This window comes from Homo sapiens, chromosome 1 (assembly GCF_000001405.40).
Source record: "Homo sapiens chromosome 1, GRCh38.p14 Primary Assembly".
Classification (NCBI taxonomy): domain Eukaryota; kingdom Metazoa; phylum Chordata; class Mammalia; order Primates; family Hominidae; genus Homo; species Homo sapiens.
Window position 1 is genome coordinate 61,966,599 of NC_000001.11, and position 24,167 is coordinate 61,990,765.

Genomic DNA, 24,167 nt, shown 5'->3' on the forward strand with positions numbered 1-24,167 from the left:
TTGCTTAAACCTGGGAGGCAGAGGTTGCAGTGAGTCGAGATTGCATCATTGCACTCCAGCCTGGGCGACAAGAGCGAGACTTCATCTCAAAAAAAAAAAAAAAAAGCAAGTTTATTAGGAAAGTAAAGGAATAAAGAATGGCTACTCCATAGAGCAGCTGGTTGCCCATTTTTATGGTTATTTCTTGATTATATGCTAAACAAGAGGTGGATGCCTTCCCTTTTTAGACCATATAGGGTAACTTCCTGATGTTACCGTGGCATTTGTAAACTGTCATGGCGCTGGTGGGAGTGTAGCAGTGAGGACAACCAGAGGTCACTCTCGTGGCCATCTTGGTTCTGGCGGGTTTTGGCCGGCTTCTTTACTGCAAGCTGTTGTATCAGCAAGATCTTTATGACCTGTATCTTGTGCTGACCTGTCTCATCCTGTGACTTAGAATGCCTTCAACATCTGGGAATGCAGCTCAGTAGGTTTCAGCCTTATTTTACCCAGCTCCTATTTAAGATGGAGTTGCTCTGGTTCAAACACCTCTGACAATAGAATTCTATTGCAGAGTTGAATTGCATGGAGAGGATTAAAAATATTCAGTTTCTCATTCTTTGTAAGATTAATACTTGCAAATCAAGCATTAGTCAGTTAACTAAATGCTTACTATTAGCCATTTTATTTTTATTTAGATATACTAAGAACTGCCTTTTTATTCCTAAAATCTTGAATTTTCTAAACTTGCTTTTGATAGTTAAACTATAGTTTTACTAATTTAACCTTAAACTATCTCTAAGAGTTGAACTTTCTATTCAAGGAAAGATACCTTTCAGAAGCATTCAATGTCTGCTTTTCATAAGATTGACTTGATTAGATGTTAGAAAAAAAGATAAGAGTGCTAAGTACAGTTTCATCTTACCTTTTAAGGAAATGTGTGTGATTTATAATTTGTAAAAGAGACAGTGATTTATGTTAAAATATTGATTCTCTCCCAAGCTGCTGTTCTTGAGCAGTTCATTTAATCCTTCTCAGCTTCACTGTTTCTTGTTTTTAGAAAGGACTGTTGCAGTATTAAATGAGATGATTTATTTAAAGGTAACCGTCACTCAAAAGGCAACATTTGTTATTAGAAATTTGGGTTTAGAATTGCCCATAAGAGATTTTGGATTAATCTTAAATATTTGTTTCCTTGCTTGATTTCCTCCTCTGCTGTTGCTTTTGCCTTTCTGTTTTGCTTGCTTTTTATCTCAATTCCTTTCCCTCTCGTTTATCTTTTATCTTGTGAGAAAAGCAATTGTTCACTGATTTGCAAGATCCTGTCCAGGACCTGACTATCAGCTGCTTTCAGAGTCTAAAGATGAGACAAAAATGAAAACAGACTGGCTGCAATGTCTGATATAATTCCTTTTCGATGTCATCATCTCAGCCCTGCCTGAAAAAAAAATCCAAGAAGATATGAAAGCCCAAGGAGTAAAGCATTAAACCATGCAAAAATACCAACACCGGAGAGAAAACAAGTATCTATGACTCTGTGGGAAGGGTGTGAATGACAGGTGTTGTCAGCTTATTTTGACAGCCTTTGGTAGCTTTTCTGCATCTTTATTAAACTCATCTTAGCTACCAGTTTTTCAGGACTTAATCTTTTTTTTGTCAGTTTCTTTAGGTGTATGGGATAGATGCTTTCTTTCATTCGGTGGCTTTTCTTTAGAATACACATGGGGTCTCCTTCACTCTCAGTTGTTTCGGCAAATGCAGAGCTTGATCACAACGTTAGCCGTAAATACCTTTTCAAGGGTCGACTTATTTTAAAAAATAGACTCTTATGTTGTTTATTTTATTACGGTAAAAAATATATAAAATTTATCATCTTAACCATTTTAAGTGTACAGTTTAGTAGTGTTAAATATATTTAGATTGTTGTAAACTAGTTCTCCAAAACTTTATCTTCCCAAACTGAAATTCTTTTTTTAATGTATTTTTTTAATTATTATTATACTTTAAGTTCTAGGGTACATGTGCACAACGTGCAGGTTTGTTACATGTGTATACGTGTGCCATGTTGGTGTGCTGCACCCGTTAACTTGTCACTTACATTAGGTATGTCTCCTAATGCTATCCCTCCCCGCTCCCACCACCCCACGACAGGCCCCCGTGTGTGATGTTCCCCACCCTGTGTCCAAGTGTTCTCATTGTTCAATTCCCACCTATGAGTGAGAACATGCAATGCCCAAACTGAAATTCTATACCTATTAAAAAATAACTTCCTGCTTTTAAAAAAAAGTTTTATAAGAACTCCTTTTCCCCCATCCCTAGTACCTGGCAACCACCATTACAGTTTCTGTTTCTATGAATTTGACTACTTTAGATGTTTTGTGTAAGTGGAATCATATTGCATTGTGACTTTTTGTGACTGCCTTATTTCACATAGCATAATTTTCTCAAAGTTCATTCATGTTGTAGTATGTGACAGGGTTTTCTTCCTTTTGAAGGCTGCGTAGTATTCCATTGTCTGTGTAGACCACTTTGTGTTTTTTTCTATTCATCTGATGGTTGACCTTTGAGTTGCTTCCACCTCTTGACTATTGTGAATAGTGCTGCTATGAACATGAGTGTGCAAATATTTCTTCAAGACTTTGCTTTCAATTATTTTAGAGATATACCCAGAAGTAGAATTACTGGATCATATGATATTTCTAATTTTTTTAAGGTATGTCCATACTCTTCCATAGGGGTTATATACCATTTTACAATCCTACCAACGATGCATAAACGTTCCAGTTTTTTCAAATCCTTGTCTACACTTATTATTTGCTGGTTTTTTGGTAGTAGCTACACTAGTGGGAGTGAGGTGATACCTCATTGTGATTTTGATTTGCATTTTTCTCGTTGATGAAGCTTCTTTTCACATGCTTATTGGCTATTTGTATACCATGTTTGGAGAAATGTCTGTTTATGTCCTTTGCCCGTTTTTAAATCAGATTATTTGATTTATATTTGGTTGTTTTAGGAGTTCTTTATATATTCTAGATATTATATACCCTTATCAGATAAATAATTTGCAAATATATTCTCCCATTCTGTGGGTTGCCATTTTACTGTTTTGATTGTGTACTTTGTTTTGTTTGTTTGAGACACAGCCTCCCTCTGTCGCTCAGGCTGGAGTGCAGTGGTGTGATCTCAGCTCATTGCAACCTCCACCTCCTGGGTTCAAGTGATTCTCGTGCCTCAGCCGCCTGAGTAGCTGGGACTAGAGGTGCATGCCACCACACCTGGCTAATTTTGGTATTTTTAGTAGAGATGGGGTTTCACCATGTTGGCCGGACTGGTCTCGAACTCCTGACCTCAAGTGATCCGCCCGCCTCGGCCTCCCAAAGTGCTGGGATTACAGACATGAGCCACCGTGCCCGGCCCTTGATTGTGTACTTTGAACAAATGTTTTAAGTTGTGAAATTTTGATGTGTACCATTTGTCTATTTGGTTTTTTGTATTTTTTTTTTTGTTTTTTGTTTTTTGTAATCTGTGCTCTTGGTATCATATCCAAGAAACCATTGCCAAATCCAAAGTTATGAAGCTTGTCATCTATTTTTTCTTCTACAAATTTTATAGTTTGGAGTAATAGACATTTTTTCTCTCTTTATTTGACTTTAATTTTTAGAGCAGTATTAGGTTCAATGAAAAAATAAGCAGAAAGTAGAGTTCCCAATACCTCCCCCACCGACACACGGGCAACCTCTCCCACTATCAATATCCTGCACCTGAGTACATCTGTTATATTCGACAAACCTACATTGACACGTCATTATCACCGAGAGTCCATAATTTGCATTAGAATTCACTCTTGGTATATGTTCTGTACATTTTGACAAATTATAATGACATGTATCTTACCACACAGTATTATACAGAGCAGTTTTACTGCCATGAAAATCCTTTGTGCTCTTCTATTCTTCCCAGGCTGGAGTGCAGTGGTGCGATGACAGCTCACTGCAGCCTCAAATGCCTGGGCTCAAGTGATCCTCCCACCTCTGCCTCCCAAGTAGCTAGGATTGCAGGCATGTGCCACAAGCCTGGCTAATTTTTAAAAATTTTTTGTAAAGATGACCTCTTCATCTATTGCCCAGGCTGGTCTCAAACTCCTAACCTCACACTAACGCCTGCTTTGGCCTCCCAAAGCTCTGGGATTATAGGTGTGAGCCACCACACCTGGCCACTCAAGAGGTTAACTTTTAATCCAGAAATTTTGAACTATTCAGAAGATACTATCATCAAAGTATTCAATGTCCAAATTACAGAACTATAAGATACTTCTGAGAGTTTGTCACCTGGTCTAATACTCATTGAAGTAGAAATTTAATCAGAATTATGTTTCCTTTCTCACAAGCAAGCTTAATTAACGAAAGCTTCAAAACCACAAAACATTCTTTAAGAAAATTGCCAGCTCCTTTGCATGCTTTTAGAGCATGACAGTTTTTAAAGTTTTTTTCACAGGTATTCTTTATTTTGATCATCTTACAAATTCTGTGAGCTGGTAAAGGCAGGCAAGATAATTTACATTTAACTCATTGACCAGTCTGAGGCTGGACTAAGTTAAGTGAACTGCCCAGGATTTCATGGCTAGAAAGTAGAGTCTAGGTTCTTAACCCCAAGTCATTGTCTCTCTACACTCTACCAACCTGCCTCTTCTTTTGGCCATGAAAATATGAATATACTGTTAGCCTCTTGCAGAAGTAAATAAGATTTTGTTAGTGTCTGGTTTCTTTCCCCAACTGTTTAAAACAGCGTAAGGCCAGGTGTGGTGGCTCACATCTGTAGTCCCAGCACTTTGGGAGGCCAAGGCAGAAGGATCACTTAAACTCAGGGTCTCTACAAAAAATTTAAAAATTAGCCAGGCATGGTGGTGCATGCCTGTAGTCCCAGCTACTCAGGAGGCTGAGGTAAGAAGAGCACTTGAGCCTGTGAGGTCGAGGCTGCAATGAGCATGTTCATGCCACTGCACTCTAGCCTGAGTGACAGAGTGAGATCCTGTCTCAAAAAATAAAAGAAAAAAGAAAAAACAGCATAGACTGTGACATACTGTGGGGTGAAGCTGTTAAAAGAAATATTTGTTATTGTTTAGAATTATTTGGGTGGCCAGGCAAAGTGGCTCACTCCTGTAATCCCAACACTTTGGGAGGCCAAGGCAGAAGGATTGCATGATCCCAGGAGTTTGAGACCATCCTGGAAACATTGTGAGACCCTATCTCTTAAAAAAAAAAAAAATCCAGGTACAATGGTGGGTACCTGTAGTCCCATCTATTTGGGCGGCTGAAGCAAAAGGATCACTTGAACACGGGAGGTTGAGGCTGCAGTGAGCCATGACCATACCACTGCACTCCAACATGGGTGACAGAGTGAGACCTTATCTCAAAATAAATAAATAAATAAGTCTGAGCAAAAATAATTATGTTTAGATTGAATCTGTCTTATCTGAAATGCTTGGGACCAGAAGTGTTTCAGATTTTGGATTTTTTCAGATTTGGGAATGTTTATGTATACCTAATAAGCTATATGTGGGACCCAAACCTAAACATAAAATTCCTTTATGTTTTATATATGCCTTATACCCAGAGCCTGAGCATAATTTTATACAATATTTTAAATAAATTTGTGCATGAAACAAAGTTTTGACTGTGACCCGTCACGTGAGGTCAGGTGTGGCTTCATGCGACTGTGACTTCATGTTGGTGTACAAAAAGTTGCAGATTTTTGAGCATTTCTAATTTTGGATTTTCAGATTAGGAATGCTCAACTTGTATTAAACAATTTATAATATTGCTGATGTTCTTTCTCATAATACTATTTTTAAGGGATCTCATGGGATTTTCTGTTGTCTTCATTTAAAAGTTAAATGTTAAAACAATGCTATGTACTGTGTCGCTTTGTGGCTGTTTCTTAAACTCTCATAGCCTGTTTCCTCATTTGTAAAAGAAATGACAACAATAATTTTTAAAAGTAAGGTTATGTAATTAAAATTGGTTTGCGTGTTACTTTAAGACACTCTCTATAAGAAATAAGGAAGGGAAGTTTTGGCTGTGAGGGAGCAAACTTCTGGTACATATAACTACTAGGTGTGAGGCATTAAGTTAAATACTTTACATTCTTTAATTCTATGTTGTGCCATTCCTAGGGCAAGAAAAGTGATTACTTAAAAGAACCAGATGCACAGTTAATTAATTTTCAGGAGGTCAACAGGTACAGTGTGGCTTCAGGGGAATTTGCAAAATAGATCTTTTTGACTTCACCATGTACCTATTAGTGAAGCTCTTTCTGACTCTAAAGCTTGTATACTTTTTTTTCTGATAGGCTGTGGTTCAAAATACCCCAAAGACAGTGTTTTTAATAATGATGAAACATTTGGATTACCCAAAAAAGGTATTCTATCAGCTTAATCTTAGAATCTATTCTTAAAATTTAATTCCTAGGGGAAGTAAAAGTGTATTAATTAGAAATTTTTATTAATAAATAGCCTGTTTCTTGACCAATTCAGATAATGACAAATTTGCAAGCTTGTGTTTCTGTAATTTATTGACATATTATGCTGTACCCACTCTGGGCCAGAAACTCTGCCTACACGAGACAGAATTAGTTTCTTCTCTCATTGAGCTGACAAGAGAGTGGGGCTGCGAGCAATAAATGACTAAAGATGACACAACAAAATACCGTCCAATCTCAGCTGGAATTCTGCTTCTTCCCTGAAGCTTGTTCTGATGGTTATTGGAAATAATACGTATGTACAGGGCTCTGGGCACACAGCCTGATGGTTTCCTAAGCAGGTATGCAGAGAGAAGTTCCACGCTATCAGTCACTAAAGGAACCAGGTCAGTTTGGCAAATAACATGTTTTAACCCTTTTTCTGCATTCTACTACAGTTTCCTTTAATTACTGAAAACTACCATTATTTTTCCTTCTAGGAAATATAATTAAATATTAATGTTGTCAGTGCCACTGCTGATGACCACGATCTGATGTGGTGCGGAGCTCTTGTTGAGCATTATTGCATGACTGTGAGGTGACCAGGAAGCAAACTTAGCCCAACCCCAGCACATTTCTACTGCACTGTAACCATAGTGAGCTTGCAACTCACCACTTTCATAGTGATTAAAGGACTATGTCCTCCTGATAATTAAAATATACAACAAATGATTGTAGAGAGTGTTCCTAAAATTACATTTGGCTTTTCGCAATGCTGTTTTCAAAATTAAAGCATGTTTACTGTTTTAAGACTGAGTTAAAAATCTGAGGTAATAATCAGATCGTTTTTTATGAATCTCATATTCAGGCATTTCTAAGGACTATAAAGGCATTTTGAGCTGGGATAGGGACTTATCTTAGTGTTCTTAGTGTGCATAAGAATTTCATAAAGATCTTTTTTTTTTTCTTTTTTAAATGGTGACTCCTTGGCCCCATCCCCAGAGATTTCGACTTTGTAGATATGACATGGATCCCAGACACCAGCACTTCATACAGGACTACTTCTGGTGATCCTGGGACCACAGTGGGACATGCTGGTTTAGGCATAGTGGTACACTTCTGTAGAAAGGCTTCAAAGGACATGTCGAGCAAAACTGATACTGTGAGCCTGATAGTTTGAGCATGGGCGCCTATGTGACCACCAATTAGGATGGATAAACTTCCTTGTACTAAACTAATTTCATTTTATGTTTTAAGCCTAAAGGTGGTCATTGAACTTGAACTTTGTCATTGTAAATTGATCATTTGTCAACTAGGTCTTCTCCATTAGATAATTGCCTCAGAGATACCCCCATCTCTCTCTCTCTCTCTCTTTTTTTTTTTTTTTTTTTTTTTTTGAGATAGAGTTTCGCTCTTGTTGCCAAGGCTAGAGTGCAATGGCGCAATCTTGGCTCACTGCAACCTCCACCTCCCAGGTTCAAGCGATTCTCCTGACTCAGCATCCGCTAACAGTGAGCTGAGATCATGCCACTGTACTCCATCCAGGGTGACAGAATGAGACTCTGTCTCAAAAAACAAACAAACGGGCTTTCTGCTCCAAAAGCAAAGTGGTACTCTCAAGGCAGGAAGCCTGTACTTCTTTCCCTAAGCTAGCTTTGAAACAAAAAGTCACTTTCTTTATACTAAAAAATAATAATTTAAAAATAACTCATTCTCTATCTCCTAGAAAAATGAGGGTACTCAGTTACAAAACTGGCTTAATTCATGAGGAGTTTTGGATGATATTGTTTTGCCATTCACTTGTGATTAAGCTCTGTGACCTGTAGTGTCCTTGATTGTGAAGGTTCTGGACTAGTTTCCTTCCATCTCCAAACTAAGTGTGATTTCACTGTTGGTTGTTTTTTTGTTTTGTTTTGTTTTGTTTTGTTTTTGACAGAGTTTCATTCTGTTGCCCAGGCTGGAGTGCAGTGGCATAATCTTGGCTTTCTGTGACCTTGACCTCTTGGGTTCAGGCAATCCTCCCACTTCAGCCTCCTGAGTAGCTGGGACTATAGGCATGAGCCACCACACCTGGCTAATGTTCTTTTATTTTTTGTAAAGATGGGGGTCTCACTATGTTTCCCAGCTGGTCTCGATCTCCTGGGCTCAAGCATTCTTCCTGCCTCAGCCTTCCAAAGTGCTGGAATTACAGGCATGAGCCACCATGCCCAGACCCAAATTAAGTGTGATTCTTAAGAGTTTAGGTACTGATTGCCAAAGTTGAATCCTTCTTTGTCTCCTGTTATGTGATTGAAAGATCTCAAATCATATTTGGAACTCTTTATGCTTTTGATAGTACCTAATTCAATCTTTACTTCCTTTGTTTTCACCCTTATATCTCTAGCAAATAGCATAGTGCCTAGCCCAGAGCCAGTATTCAGAATTTTTTTTTAATAGATAAATGGAGTAAAGTCAGCTATTCCTTTTTTCTCCAGCTCTTTGAGTTCTTTTTAATCTCTTCCAGTTGATGCCCTTAATCCGGTGTACATCCATTCCTATAATTGCTGGATACATGGTAATATCCTCCTAAATGGTCAGCTTTCCTATTCTTGGCCTGTCAGCCCTCCTTCCCACTGTCGAGTGGTAATTCATCTCCAAACACTGTTCAAAGCATTTCAGTATCTCTGCCTCGTCCAGGTGTTTAGAACCTCTGTCCACTTGGTCCTAGCAGGAGTTTCAGGCTTATCGTCTCCTTCATTCCTGAGCTCCAAGCCACATTCGGCTGCAGCTGTCTGTGGATACCATACATCAGCCCAAAGTAAATTCTCACCTGCTTGTGTTTCACTCCATGCCTCTAAGGATCAGATAACAGCTTCCTTGTTAGCCTTCAGCTTCCTTTACTTTGGACTTCTAAACAGTTCAAAAGCCTGTTGGCTTTCAAATTATTTTCTATTACCACATGCTAATTTTGCCTCTAATTTTTTCTCCACCAGTCTACTTTTATAGTCATGCTTGGTCTTCCTGTCTCTTTGTCCCCTCTTCAAGTCATCCTGTGTGTGCTGCAGCCATGCTTCCTAAGGCTCAGCTCTGGGGATTGCCTATACGTGTTCCATGTCTCGCCTTAAATTGTCGATTCCAAAAGGGCTGAGGAAGGTTTTAGGCTTTCCTTCTGCTACTCTAGCAGAAGTGAACATAACGTGCTTCTTTATTTTCTTTGTGTTGATGGGTAAACACACAGGATTTGAAGTGAGACAGACCCAAACCTGAAACCCAAATCTTACCAATTACTTACTTTGAGTTTAGGCAAGTTCCATAACCTCCACTGGCCTCAGCTTCATTATCTGTAAGATGGGATGGTTATACTTATAGCATTGTTGTGAGGGGTTTTTTTGTTTGTTTGTTTGTTTTATTGAGATGGAGTCTTGCTCTTGTTGCCCAGGCTGGAGTGCAATGGCACAATCTCGGCTCACTGCAACCTCTGCCTCTTGGTTTTAAGTGATTCTCCTGCCTCAGCCTCCCAAGTAGATGGGATTACAGGCACCCACCCATCATGCCTGGCTAATTTTTATATTTTTAGTAGACATGGGGTGTCTCCATCTTGGCCAGGCTGGTCTCGAGCTTCTGACCTCAGGTAATCCACCCACCTCAGCCTCCCAAAGTGCTGGGATTACAGGCATGCGCCAGTGTGCCCGGACTTGTTTTGTTTTTTTAGTTGTGAAAATTTTCAAACATTTACCAACATAAAGAGAATAGTCAGCAAATTCTCCCATATGTTCTCCCAGGTTCAGTAATTACCAAGATTTTACTATACTCGTTTCACCTATTCCTTATATTTTCTTTTATTTTTCTTTACTGAAATATTTTCAAATTATCCCCAGACATTATGTCATTTTATTCATACACATGCATCTCTTAAACATATAACTATAATACCATTAATTTTCCTAACATCATAATTTTTTGGTTTTTCTAATATATAGTCTGTAATTAAATTTATTGTCTCAAAAAATATTCTTACAATTGGCTTGTTCAAATCAGATTCAAACAAGGTCCTCACATGATAGTATTTTTTGTTTGTTTGCTTGTTTTTTTAGAGATGGGGTCTCACTCTGTTGCTCGGGCTGGAGTGTAGTGGCGTGATCATGGCTTACTATATCCTCCACCTCCCAGGCTCAAGGGATTCTCCAACCTCAGCCACCCGCGGAGCTGGGATTACAGGCGTGTGCCACCACACCCAGCTAATTTTTTTGTATTTGTAGTAGAGATGGGGCTTTGCCATGTTGGCCAGGCTGATCTCGAACTCCTAGCCTCAAGTAATTGGCCCACCTCAGCCTCCCAAAGTACTGGGATTACAGGCGTGAGCCACTGTGCCCAGCCCAAACTGGAAATTTTTTGGATTAGTGGGTAGGTGATAAGAAATAAGGTGGAAGGTTTAAAAGGTTAATTCATCTTTCCCAGTGTAAGAAAAAGGAAATAATAGTAGAATTTTAAAAAGAAGATTAAAAAGGTTAATTGATAGGTTGTTTACAGCAATGATATTCCAATTTAGGTGTTTTGTAGACGCGTCCTAGAGTCCCCCCAGGGATGAGGGGTTGAGTGGGGGGCTCCATTTAAGACTTTTTCTCCCAGATTCAACCACAACACTGATTACAGGTATGATCCACTGTGCCGGCTGGCATTACAGTATTTTACATCTCTTTTTAAAAAAGAAATTTATTAGCTGGGTGCTGTGGTGAACACCTGTAGTCCCACAGCTATGCAGGAGGCTGAGGCAGGAGGATCCCTGCGGCCAGGAGTTTGAGGCTTAGTACACTATGATGGGGCCTCTGTGAATAGCCACTGTACTCTAGCCTGGGCAACATAGTAAGACTCAAAAAAAAAAAAAAACTTAAAAAAATTTTTTTAATAAAAATAAGTTGATTGAAATACATACAAACAGAAAACTATACTATAGTTTGCTGTATTTTCACAAAGAACATATTCCCATGTAACCACCATCCAGGTAATGAAATAAAACATTACTAATACCCAGAAGTCACTTTGTGCCTCCTCTGATTGACTATTTCTTCTCTCTTCTCTGAAAGTCATCATTTTCTTATTTTCTCTATTTGTTTATGGTTGATGTTGTTCATCTCTTACAGGAAGAGACATTTTCTCTACTTGTTTGGACTTTCATCTTCATATCTTCCTTCCTTCCTTCCTTCCTTCCTTCCTCCCTCCCTCCCTCCCTCCCTCCTTCCTTCCTTTATTCTTTCTTCTTTCTTTTTTTTGACAGAGTTTTTCGCTCTTGTTGCCTAGGCTGGAGTGCAATGGTGCGATCTTGGCTCACTGCAACCTCTGTCTCCTAGGTTCAAGCGATTCTTCTGCCTCAGCCTTCCGAGTAGCTGGGATTAAAGGCATGTGCTACCATGCCCAGCTAATTTTGTATTTTTAGTAGAGAGGGGGTTGCTCCGTGTTGGTCAGGCTGGTCTCGAACTCCCAACCTCAGGTGATCTGCCCGCCTCGGCCTCCCAAAGTGCTGGGATTACAGGCATGAGCCACTGCGCCCAGCCTGTGCTGTTTCTTCTGATAAGTTACAGTTTCTTTTATATATTTTTACCTCTTAAATCTAAAAGTACTAACTCAGAGAATTAGAAGTTGGTTAGTGCATAAGAAAAATTAGATTGAGATGTTTATTATACCTGATTTTTTTTAAGTGGAATTGTTATATTTGATGTATAGAAGAGTGTTTTTAAATGTTTTCTCTGTATTATATTATTCTTTGTTATTTGGAAACAGACCAGATAACTAAATGTTTCTGAAATTGTATTGAGTCATTATTCCAGTGTGTTGAACATTTGCTATTAAAATACTGGGCAGTGACTTGAATTAAGTTTCTTTCTTGGGAGAAAGGCTCTGTTACTTAGCAACACCTAATATCCTATGATGATAGGAAAACATACTGTGACAATGGAGAAATGTTATTGACTTTCTTGAACAAGAAAAAGGCATTGATGCTTTGATAGAGAATTATGAGCAACTTGGGATTCCTTTCTTCAGATAACATTGTCCTGGGGCTAGACAATCCATGTTTAAAACAAGCATGAGTGTTCAGCTGCATCAAGAGACTGTTCTCTCTCCAATTATTCTAGTCTGATGTTCATTCAGGGATACTGGAATAAAGCCTGGTGCCAAAAGAAGTAGTTTACTTATCTACTCATCTCTGATTTTTATTTAGAAATGGGAGGGCATCTAGGTTATTTGAAAAAAGAACTACAGCCACTTGACTGACACACTGTGTAAGTGGAGGGGAAGAGAAATATCTTTCCTTCCCATCTTAGGTTAATGGCTGAGGCCTTTATAACAACAAAAGACAGATTAGGCCAGGCGCGGTGGTTCAGGCCTGTAATCCCAGCACTTTGGGAGGCCAAGGTGGGCAGATCACGAGGTCAGGAGATTGAGACCATCCCGGCCAACATGGTAAAACTCTGTCTCTACTAAAAATACAAAAATTAGCTGGATGTGGTGGCGTGTACCTGTAATCCCAGCTAGTCAGGAGGCTGAGGCAGGATAGTGGCTTGAACTCGGGAGGCGGAGATTGCAGTGAGCCAAGATCACACCACTGCACTCCAGCCTGGCGACAGAGGGAGACTCCGTCTCAAAAGAAAAAAAAAAAAAAGATTAGCAAAAGAAGAGCATACACATTTATTTAATATACACAGGAGCCTTCATAAGGAAATGAAGTCCCAAGGAAACAAACCTGTGTGGTTTTTATGCTAGGTTTAAACCAAAGAAGTAAATAGCCATGGAGTGGTAAGATTGGACAAACGAGGCATGATCTAATGGTAACGAACTAGGAGGAACTTACTAACGTCTGCTGCTTAGATTCTTCTCTGTGTCCCTGTGTCTTCAGAGATAAGGATGCTCCCTTCCTCTGGGTATAGGCAGGGCACCTCTGTAATGAAGGTCTTATCACCTGCTTCAGGGGAAGATCAGAGAAATCCTTTTTAGGTTTTATGACCTGCTTCAGGGGAGAAGGGGTAGGAGGAGTGAGAGTTACCTTCCTGCCTCTGCTGTTTTCTCAAATGCGAAGATGCCATATTGTTATGTAGGGTGTACTGAATCCCATCAAAAGTCATTGAAAACAGCTGAGCATAGAGGCACATGCCTGTAGTCCCAGCTATTCAGGAGGCTGAAGCTGGAGGATTGCTTGAGCCCAGGAGGTTGGGGCTGCAGTGAGCCATGATTATGCCGCTGAACTCTAGCCTGGTCAACAGAATGAGACCCTGTGTCAAAAAAAATAAAAAATAAATAAAATCAGCAAAAGTCTATATAAAGATGGTTGTTGTTTTTACAAATATTTCCCAGAAATACCAGATGTGGAAGATTCTAGATCATTATAACACTTTTGATATTTTGTTGCCAAAAGCTAGTACTTATATAATTTGTGTGTGTGTGTGTGTGTGTGTGTGTGTGTGTGTGTGTGTGGTATGCATTTTCATATAGTAAACAAAGTATGGGTTCTTTGGTGTTTTTGTTTCTTAATTTTAAGAGAGAACTTCACTGGCTTCAAGTAAAAGAATACTCTTTACTCCACCTCTTTAAAATCATGTATTTTCAGTGAAATTGAAATTAGTAAATTTTAAGAAAACCATTCTCTATACATTTTCTTTCCACTTATCCTTTTCTCACCCCATTGGTTGCTGTGGCAACGACTCCCAGCAGCCCTTAGAGCAAATGCCAGGCCATGCGGGGTTCCCCGCAGTGGAGCCACATGTCTGATACTGCGCAACAGTTTGTGCTGACTCAGCCATGCACAGGAGGAGTGCTACCATTTCTCTCTTAAGTTTTGAATTAAAAACTAAACTGGCATTGCAGTGTCTTGATTTTTTAAAAATGAAAAACCAAGTCAGTTTCAAAAACCAAATCATTTTTCCCTCTCCCCTTGAAATTCTAGGTTCAGCTTTTGTTGTACTTACTAAAGAGAAGCAATTGTCACAGAGATTACAGGAAACCCCAGAGATTTTGGATGGAGGGAGGCAGCCTAGGAGGCTGAGAGGAAGGGAAATCTATTATGCAATCAAAATAGACCTTTTATTTAATCCCGAAGCCTGACTGTGGAGACAGAGATAGTGTCCATGTTAGATTAGTCTTGTGAAGGCTGCCTTAAATTTGGTCTCTGTGAACTTTTGTTGACTGTCATCATCAACATGTTTTTCCTGGAAAGAAATGAGTGCACTGCATGAGAGATTAATCTGTAGTTTACGAACCTAGTGGCCCATGAGAAGCACCTGAGCACCTTGTTACAAAGATTCCTAAACCTTACCCCAGAAAACCTGGCTCAGAATCTCAGCTAGTGGGTCCCAGTCATGGTTCTGTTTTATAAGCACCAAGGGTGATATTTTAGGTAGTAAGGGGGAGAAAGTATTATTTTTTCCTCACCCATTGCAAGGTTCATGGCTGAGACCCTTATAACAAAAAGATTAACAAGAGAAAAGCATAACAAATTTGTTTATCCAAAATTTTATACAACACAGGAGCCTTCAGAAAGAAAGACCCAAAGACCCAGGGAAAACTGTGTTTTTATGGACAGTCCTGCAGAAGTATGACTGGAGGACAAAAGGGTATGATCTAGTGGTATGAAATTGGGGGAAACTCAGGAAAGCCTATTTGTTGTGATTCTTTTTTTTTTTTTTTGGAGACGGAGTCTCACTCTGTCGCCCAGGTTGGAGTGCAGTGACACAATCTCGGCTTAGTGCAAGCTCCGCCTCCCAGATTCAAGCGATTCTCCTGCCTCAGCCTCCCGAGTAGCTGGGATTACAGGCATGTGCCACCACATCCAGCTAATTTTGGATTTTTAGTAGAGACAGGGTTTCACCATGTTGGCCAGGCTGGTCTCAAACTCCTCCTCAGGTGATCCACCCGCCTTGGCCTCCCAAAGTGCTGGGGTATCAGGCGTGAGCCACCGCACTCAGCCTTGTTGCGATTCTTGTGCATCTCTGTATGCTATTCCCTTCCTCTGAGTATAGGGCAGGACACCTGTCACATACACATCTGCAGGGGAGAAGGGAGGGAGGTCAGAGAGTGACCTTCTTAGGTTTTGTGGCCTGCTTCTGGGAAGTGGGGGCAGGGGGCTTTCTAGTTTCTGTGGCCACTTCAGGAGAAGGGGGTAAGAGAAGGTCAGAACACATAATCCTGCTTCTGTGGTTTTCTCAGTTTCCTTCAGTGTAAAATACTCAGTCTGCTAAGGTGCTACATTTTAGGGTATTGTGTTCTGAATCCTGACAATAACAATAAATCTAAGCCTGACAAATAATCTAAGGAGATAGGCCTGGGAACCATTGTTTCATCTCTGAAGGGATCTTATTACCTAAAATGTCTACCAGTTGAAGAGATGGCTGTGGTGTGATGAACAGGTCACAGCACTTGGATTCAGCAGAACTGACCCTGACATTGGCCAGGTCACCTCAGTTCTCTGAGTATCAGTCAGTTCATCTGCAAATGGAGGCATTTACGAAGGTGTGGGGAAGAATCGATGACACAGTGAACTGTGAAATGTTTCTTTCATATAAGGAGGTATTGTGACCATGTGAGGATTCTGACGATAGCTTCTTAAAACTGAGGGAGAAATTCAAAGTCATTTTATCTTTCCTTTAAAATGATATTGGAGAATTTTATACATGATTTGTTAGAGAAAAAAAATTGAACTATATGCTAGAAGACTTTTTAACACTTTTCATATTTAGTTGCCAAAAGCTAGTACTGACATAATTTATGTGTGTGTGGTGTGTATTTTTGTGTGGCAACAAAGGATGGGTTCTTTGTTTTTTCTGTTTCTTAATTTTAAGGGAGAACTTCATTGGCTTCAAGTATTAGGTTGGTGCAAAAGTCATTATGGTTTTTTTCATTACTTTTACTGGCAAAAATCACAATTACTTTTGTACCAACCTAATAAAAGAATACTCTTTACCTCTTTAGTCTATAGTTTCTACCCATAAATTAGCTTCATAACCTTATATGAGATTTTCATTCTGTGGTCTTATTTCTTTATCAAATGGAGTCTGAAATTAAGGAGGGGTGACTGTAAGAGAAGGTCCATGATTTCTTAGTTCCTTTTGCCTGAATTAAAAGTCTCTGATTTCATGATATGGTGAAAACATAGCAATTAATGTATCTGAAGGGCTGGACCTGTCATCTTTTAAACTCCATCTAACTATGAGTCTAAATAAAAGTCATAGGATAACCCAAATTCTGAGGCCTGAAAATGTTAATAAAAATTCAATGGAAGTATATGTGTTACAGAGTATTTGGCACTTTTATTCTCTTATTATTATGCTTTCTGTTTTATGAGGCACTGAAAAAAATGATTACCTATAAATCTTTTTGCTTATCAAGTTTCTTCAGCTTGATAAAGTGGGTTTTAAAAGATAATGTGCACGTAGTAATTTGTTTTTCTAGTACTACTAATGGATTTTAATTTTGAATACAGCTCTAAAGAGGAAACTTTTACTTCTTTTAACTGAAGGGATAATTATCTTTGAGAAAAAAATTGTATCTGTCTAAAGCTTTTAGATTTCCAATCACTTTTATGTAGCATTGTTTGGAGCAATGTCAGAACAGTGTGTCCTAGCAATTGAAGAGGATCTTCAAAATCACTCATTTCTGTTTTCAGTAGTTTTAGATGGACTATCTAATATATGCCAGACACTGTTGTGGGTACAGAAGACTGCAGAGAGTTGGGTGGACAAGGAGCTCATGGAGTTTATATTCTAGGGGAGGGAAGTCGAAGGAAATAAGGAATCTAAAAAGATACTTTTCAGCTAGGACCATGAAGACAGATGGACAAAACTAGAGACAGGGTCTTGCTCTGTCACCCAGGCTGGAGTGCAGTGGCGTGACTGTGGCTCAGTGCAGCCTCAACCTCCTGGGCTCAAGCAGTCATCCCACCTCAGCCTCCCAAGTAGCTGGGACTACAGGTGTCCACCCTCATGCCTGGCTGATGTTTTAATTTTTTGTAGAGATGGAGTCTTGCTATATTGCCCAGGCTAGTCTTGAATTCCTGCCCTTAAGCAATCTTTCTGCCTTCCAAAATGCTGGGATGATGCACCTGGCCCCCCAAAATTATTAATAAAATTGTATAACTATGAAATACGCTCAATTATTATTATTATTATTTTTTTTTTTTTTGAGGCAGAGTGTTGCTCTGTCACCCAGGCTGGAGTGCAGAGGTGCCATCTCTGCTCACTGCAACCTCCCCCTCCTGGGTTCAAGTGATTCTCATGCCTTAGCCTCCCGATTAGCTGGGATTACAGGCATGTGTCACCATGCCATCTAATTTTTGTATTTTTAATAGAGACAGGGTTTCACTATACTGGCCAGGCTGGTCTCGAACCCCTGACCTGGCTAGTGATCTGCCCACCTCAGCCTCCCAAAGTGCTGGGATTACAGGCATGAGCCCCTGTGCTCGGCCTTAAGTATACCCAATTCTTTAATGTTTCAGGGTTGGGATTTTTTTGCTGAGCTTTATTCTGTTGAGCTTATTTCATTCTCCCACAAAACAGAAAACAATAAAAAGAAATTAAGGAAAGCTGAATAACTCATCTGTTAGCATTTAGGCAAATAAAGTCAGAACAAGATAGATGCAGGATTATTGGAAATGTCAACCAAAACGAGTCCTTGGCATGATACAGTAGAAAGTGTAGCTGACCAGTGGGTTGAGAATTAGCTAGAACATCTATACTATTCAGTATATTTGCAGATATTAGTTGTTTTTCCTGACAACACACTGAAATAAGTGGGTAACTTCAGCTACTGGTATTTTTCTCAATGCTCTTATCTCTCTGAATTATAACTAGTCATATGCGTGCTTGTCTCCAGTGATAGATTTTGAGGTCCTTGAAAACAAATTCAGTATTATATTCCCTTTGTATCACAAGCCTGGCATGAATTTGGATTCAATTCATAGTAATTCATTGAATAAGCAGGATTATAGTAGGGTCACAAAAAAGCATTGACTAGAAAAATATAGCTGCTGGTTTTGGCCAGGCATGGTGGCTCACGCCTAATAATCCCAGCACTTTGGGAGGCCGTTGTGGGCGGATCACAAGGTCAAGAGATCAAGACCATCTTGGCCAATGTAGTGAAATCCCATCTCTACTAAAACTACAAAAGTTAGCTGGGCGCGGTGGCGCATGCCTATAGTCCCAGCTACTTGGGAGGCTGAGGCAGGGGAATCGCTTGAACCCGGAAGGTGGAGGTTGCAGTGAACCGAGATCGTGCCACTGTACTCCAGCCTGGCGACAGAGCAAGACTCTGACTCAAAAAAAAAGAAGCTGCTGGTTTCAAAAGTCAGAATAATAAATCTATAACTTAGTCCCTCAGTGGGATATTGATAAGGGAACCAATTTTTTGAGGGTATTTTAAGCCACTGATAGGGGTCTTTTTTAAATTGTGGTAAAATATACATAACAACATTTACTATTTTACCGTCTTTAATTGTATTGTTCAGTGTTAAATACATTCACATTGTACAACCATCCATCTCCAGAACTTTTTTATTTTCTCAAACAGAAACTACAGAAAGGGTTTTGATTCTACACTTGACTAGCACACAATTGTAAAGCTGTTTGAGTGGTCTCCATATCACAGGACAAACACTTGATCCAGTGGTGGCATTTCTCTGCACCTGCAGATGTTCCAGGGTCTTCTCCCTGCCTCAAAGAAGAGACTCAGGGGAGAACAATGTTAGTCCCTTCCTCTAATGGTTCCCGCCAGAGGACTGTGTGGCTTTTCTTCATGCCATCATGGGGAAAACTTCTTTCTTCCTTAAGTCTCCATTTTTCTTAAAACAAACAAAAAGTTAAGTAGAAAAGAGCAGCTTGGTCACCAACTTAAGACTAACTTTAAAACTCGACATAACTATATCATGGAAACAAAAATCATGAGATTTTGTTTCCCCTAACATTATTTGGACTCCTATCTCCCAGGCATTTTTAGGCAACATCCACTTTTAAGGTAACAACCCCATTTTACATAAGAAATCTGGGTTCATAGAGGTTTAGTAATTGGTCCAAGGAATCAGAGATGTTAAGTGCCTCAGCTTGTGTTTGGACTTAATTGTGACCCTAACCCTTACCCTTCCTATTCTGCCACAAGAATGTGTGATGCTTCAGCCTCCCAAAGTGCTGGGATCACAGGCATGAAACACCGTGCCCAGCCTCATTTCAGTGTCTTTAATAGCTAGTAGTTCATTACAGTTTTACATTTATTCTTGCACTAAATATTGTGTTTTAATTTTTTTGAGAAATGTGTCTACATCATATAGATTTTAAAATGTACCAACTTATAGTTTGTGTTGATGTACGGTCCATAATTTTATTTAAAAAACCTGTCTGCAGTTATTTTTCTCTTTTAGTTCTGTAATTTATTTTTATTTATTTACTTTTAGAGATGGGGGTCTTCCTCTGTAGCCCAGGCTAAAGTGCAGTAGTACAGTCATGGCTCATTGTAACCTTGAACTCCTGGACTTAATGATCCTCCCGCCTCAACCTCCAGAGCAGCCAAAATTATAGGCGCGTGCCGCTATGCTGGGCTAACTTTTTAAATTTTTTGTACAAACGGGGTCTCGCTATGTTGCCCAGGCTTGTCTCAAACTCCTGGGCTCAAGCAGTCCTCCCAAAATGCTGGGATTATAAACATGAGCCACTGTATCCAGCTTTGTAATTTATTTTCATCACCTATTTTTTCTCGTTAAGTTTTTAAAGAGCCTATCTTATTAATGTTTTCTAAGAAGTAGGTTTTAATTTCACTGAACTTCAGAATGCATTTTTATTTTGTTTTGTTTGTTGGTGATAGTTCCATATTCATTCATTAGTAGATGCCCTTATCTTTGCTATTTTCTGTCTTCTTATTTCTTTGCATTTGCTATGTATTTTTCCAATTTCTTAGTTATAATACTTTTTTTTTAACTTTTCTTGTTCTCTGGTAAATTCTTCAAAATTATAAAATTGCCTTCTAAGTTCTTCTTTAGCTGTGTCTCTCAAGTTTGACATCTAGAATTATAATTTTTATTCAATTGTGAATACTGTGTTTCTTAATTTTCTGTTTAAGATCTTGGGTTTTTTGCTAATATTAATTTATTTCTAAACACCTGAGGTTTTTAAAGTTCTCTTTTTATTGTTAATTTATAATTTTTTTGTTTTATTGCACTATATTTCAAGAACACAGCCTGTGTAATATTGAGTCTTTGAGAGCTATTGAAGTTTCTTTTATGGCCCAATATGCAGTCTGTTTCTGTACTTGTTCTGTGTGTGAGTTGCAAAAAATGTGCATTTTGTGTCTGTCAGTTGTAGAGTTATCTTATATCTACTATTTTGAGTGTATTGTCTTGTTAAAGTTATCAACATCTTTTTTTTTAAAAAAAAGATGCCTTATTACTTTCTGAGAGAGGTGTGTTAAAATTGGTGTTTCATGTTGTTTTCTTAGCTGCGATATCATTTCTTAACCATCTTACCCTATAAGTCCAATAAACAAAGCAGATGAGAGCATAAGTGCTCTGGTTGAATCCGGGAGAAAAGGTCTTAAATGGAGCCTCCTCTCAACCCCCCATCCCTGGGGGACTCTATGGCACCTCTGCAGAACCCCTAAAATGGAATATTATTGCTGTAAACAGCCTATCAATTAACCTTTCAGTCTTATTTCTGATCACCCACTCACTAGTCCAAAGAATTTCCAGTTTGCAGCCAACAGCTACCCATGTTCTCCTCCCCATCCCAACTGCGTTTTCCTCTTGCCATTTCACCCACCAAGATTCTTCTTCACATAATCAAATTCCATACCTTACTCAAGACTCTGCTTAAATTTTGCTAATTCCAAAACATCTTTTCTAGCCATATCCATTCTTGGAATTCTAAAAGCAATTACTGGGGCCAGACATGGTGGCTCACACCTGTAATCCCAGCACTATAAGAGGCCAAGGCGGGCGGATCACCTGAAATCAGGAGTTTGAGACCAGCCTGGGCTGCATGGCGAAACCCTGTCTCTACTAAAAATTAAAAAATTAGCTGGGTATGGTGGCGCACTCCTGTGATCCCAGCTACTCAGGAGGCTGAGGCACAAGAATCGCTTGAACCTGGGAGGTGGAGGTTGCCCTGACCCAAGATCGCACCACTGCACTCCAGCCTGGGTGATAGAGCAAGACTTCATCTCAAAAAATAAAATAAAATAAAATAAAAGCAATTATTGGTAGCACAATTAATTTAGTATTTATTCACTGATCTAATTAACTAATAAGTTAGTATTTATTCAGTGACCAGCAGTCGTAATGGTTGGGAATTTCAAAAATAATTGTAGTTGTTGAATATTTGTTGTGTTAACTTTATTTCTCCTGTTATGCTGTGTGAGCATCTTTACTGTAATGCATGTCTTACATGTCTCTATTCATTCAAGTACCCACACAGCATCTTGTTCTTGGTTGCCGACCAGCAAAAATGCCTTGTATTTATTCACTTCAATGTTAATATGACTTAACTCTTTTCCTATATAGTTAACAGTTTTGTGATCTTGCAAGTCCTTCATTTTACTGTATTTTGCTAAATGTGTTCATTATTATTAGTAACAAGCTTTGTTCAGTGAGTGTTCTTTAAGATTCTCTTCAAAATTCTTGTAAAGCCGATTTATTTTCATTCTAAAATAAGCCCCCCCTTGTGCTTTATTCTTTTATTATAAATTTATGCATAAAGTCATTTTTACAAGTTTAAATTTACCTACTCACTTATAAAGCAGTGTTTGTTAAGTCTGGTAAAGTGATAGAGTGGACTGGGCTGTCTTCTTCCCCACTCTACCTTAAGACAAATGATTTGACTTGAGCTTTTAATTTGCAAGGTTCCCTCCTAAGGACAGCAAATGTAATATAAGTGAAGCATTAGAATGAGCATTTAGGGTTCCAAGAGGGTCACAATCTACGAATTTGTTATTTAAAAGCTGATGAGATGATTGCTTCCAGCCATGGTAGTAGGCATGAAGCCTTTGAGTGTGGTGGCACACCTGGCCTGATCTTGTGTTCTGCGGGGCACAGCACATGCTTAAAGCAGTACCATCCTCACACTGATTTGTCAGTGTGGTTTTGCTGCACAGAACCAACACAAGTGAGACACAGCCAGCCATCTCCTAAAACAGGTCCTTTTGACCCTAACATAGAGGTAGCAAAGTGAGACAGAAGATGGAATAAGAGAAGTATAGAACACCTATAAACTATGAGCCGCTAAGCCCTTCAACATGTATGTTGTTTAATTTTCTCAACATCCATGAAATGGATAGTAACAATTTACAGATGAAAAAGTGGAACCTCATAGAGATAAACCAATGTATTCATTGTTAGATATTGAGTAAATGGTAGATTTGTGGAATGAATTCAAATATGAGAGCTAAACCAACACCCTTAATTCCCCTTGCTTTTGCTCCCATAACCCAGTGTTATTTGGTACCCTTTGTATTAATATATATTAATGTAATTATTTAGAATTGTTGATTTTCTTTCCTACTGGACCGTAAGTCCTAAGAGTAGAAACCATGATTGTTTTGTTCAGTGTTAAATCTCTAAGACCAAATACTTTGCTTGCCTCAAATCTGGTGCTCAGCTAATGTTTTTGCTTCCCTTTTTAGTGCGGGTGGGTTGGGGCAGATAGGAAGGGGACCATGGTTTCTACCACTTTGTGTTGATTGACTTAGGTAAGAAAAGAGTCCACAGAAAGTCTAGGCCAGTGTGAACCTGAACAATCAGAAGGTCTTATGGGTGAGTTAAACTTCTTAGGAGGAAATAAAATAATTTTTAACTGTAACCTACATCTAAGGCCATGCATGACCTTAAGTACCTTCATTCTCAAAAATAAACTATTATAGAGCTTGGCACAGTGCCACATACTATAGTTCCAGCTACTTGGGAGGCTGAGGCAGGGGGATCACTTGAGCCCAGGAGTTGGAGGCTGTAGTGTGCTATAGTCACACCTGTGAATAGCCACTGCAGCACTCCAGTCTGCGCAATATAGCAAGACTCTGTCTCTTAAAAAACAAAAAAGGTACCATAGTTGAGAAATCACAGTAAGGATGGGGAAATGCTGACATCTCAATAATACAGATCAAGCTACTCTATTTAATTTTAAAAAAATTCTTTTAATAGAAAAAATCAGACAAAGATATGCAGATCTGCCTGGAGAACTGCACATTATTGAACTTGAAAAAGATAAGAATGGACTTGGACTCAGCCTTGCTGGTAATAAAGACCGATCACGCATGAGCATATTTGTGGTGGGAATTAACCCGGAAGGACCTGCTGCCGCAGATGGACGAATGCGTATTGGAGATGAACTCTTAGAGGTGAGAAGCATGTGTTTTTAACTTATCTTTTGGTGAAGTGGATGGGTGCAGTGGATGTTGTATAGGAAAATGAGGTGAAAGGGAAGAATGATGTCAAATTATATTTCCTTCAACTACTTAAAATCATTTTTCAAAGCAAGAACAGAAATCAAACTGTTGTTTGCAAATGTTATTTGCTGCTTAAGTAAAAACTAATCTCACAGAATATTTTAGAAGTTCTTCAGTAAAATATCATGGAAACATATTAAAACCTTTGTTTTTAATATCAATTTTTAAGTATTCAAAATTAATTTGTATATTAACCTAATTTTGATAGTATTTATCAAAATTCTCTTTGGGTTTTAAATTAGTCATACATGTAACTGTTGTGGTTCTTCAGTTTTTTGGGGGGAAGTGGGGAA

At 38.9% G+C, this 24,167-nt stretch overlaps 1 protein-coding gene and 1 long non-coding RNA gene across 24 annotated transcripts in view; one reads left to right on the forward strand and one right to left on the reverse strand.

The window, feature by feature from the left end:
• Window positions 1-24,167, forward strand: part of PATJ (PATJ crumbs cell polarity complex component) — a 421,436-nt gene that overhangs the window by 224,119 nt on the left and 173,150 nt on the right. For all 23 annotated transcript variants that reach the window (XR_007061928.1, XM_011540462.4, XM_011540467.4 and 20 more), the window contains one exon: window positions 23,570-23,766. Coding sequence is in view for 22 of the 23 variants with exons in the window: in XM_011540462.4 (XP_011538764.1) it covers window positions 23,570-23,766 (197 nt within the window). In the remaining variant the exon portion in view is untranslated. The remainder of the gene's footprint in view (window positions 1-23,569; window positions 23,767-24,167) is intronic.
• The window catches only part of LOC107984965 (uncharacterized), a 45,543-nt gene continuing 40,443 nt past the window's right edge, over window positions 19,068-24,167 (reverse strand). Inside the window, exon 3 of the long non-coding RNA XR_001738097.2 lies at window positions 19,068-19,234. This is a non-coding gene — a long non-coding RNA (uncharacterized LOC107984965). The remainder of the gene's footprint in view (window positions 19,235-24,167) is intronic.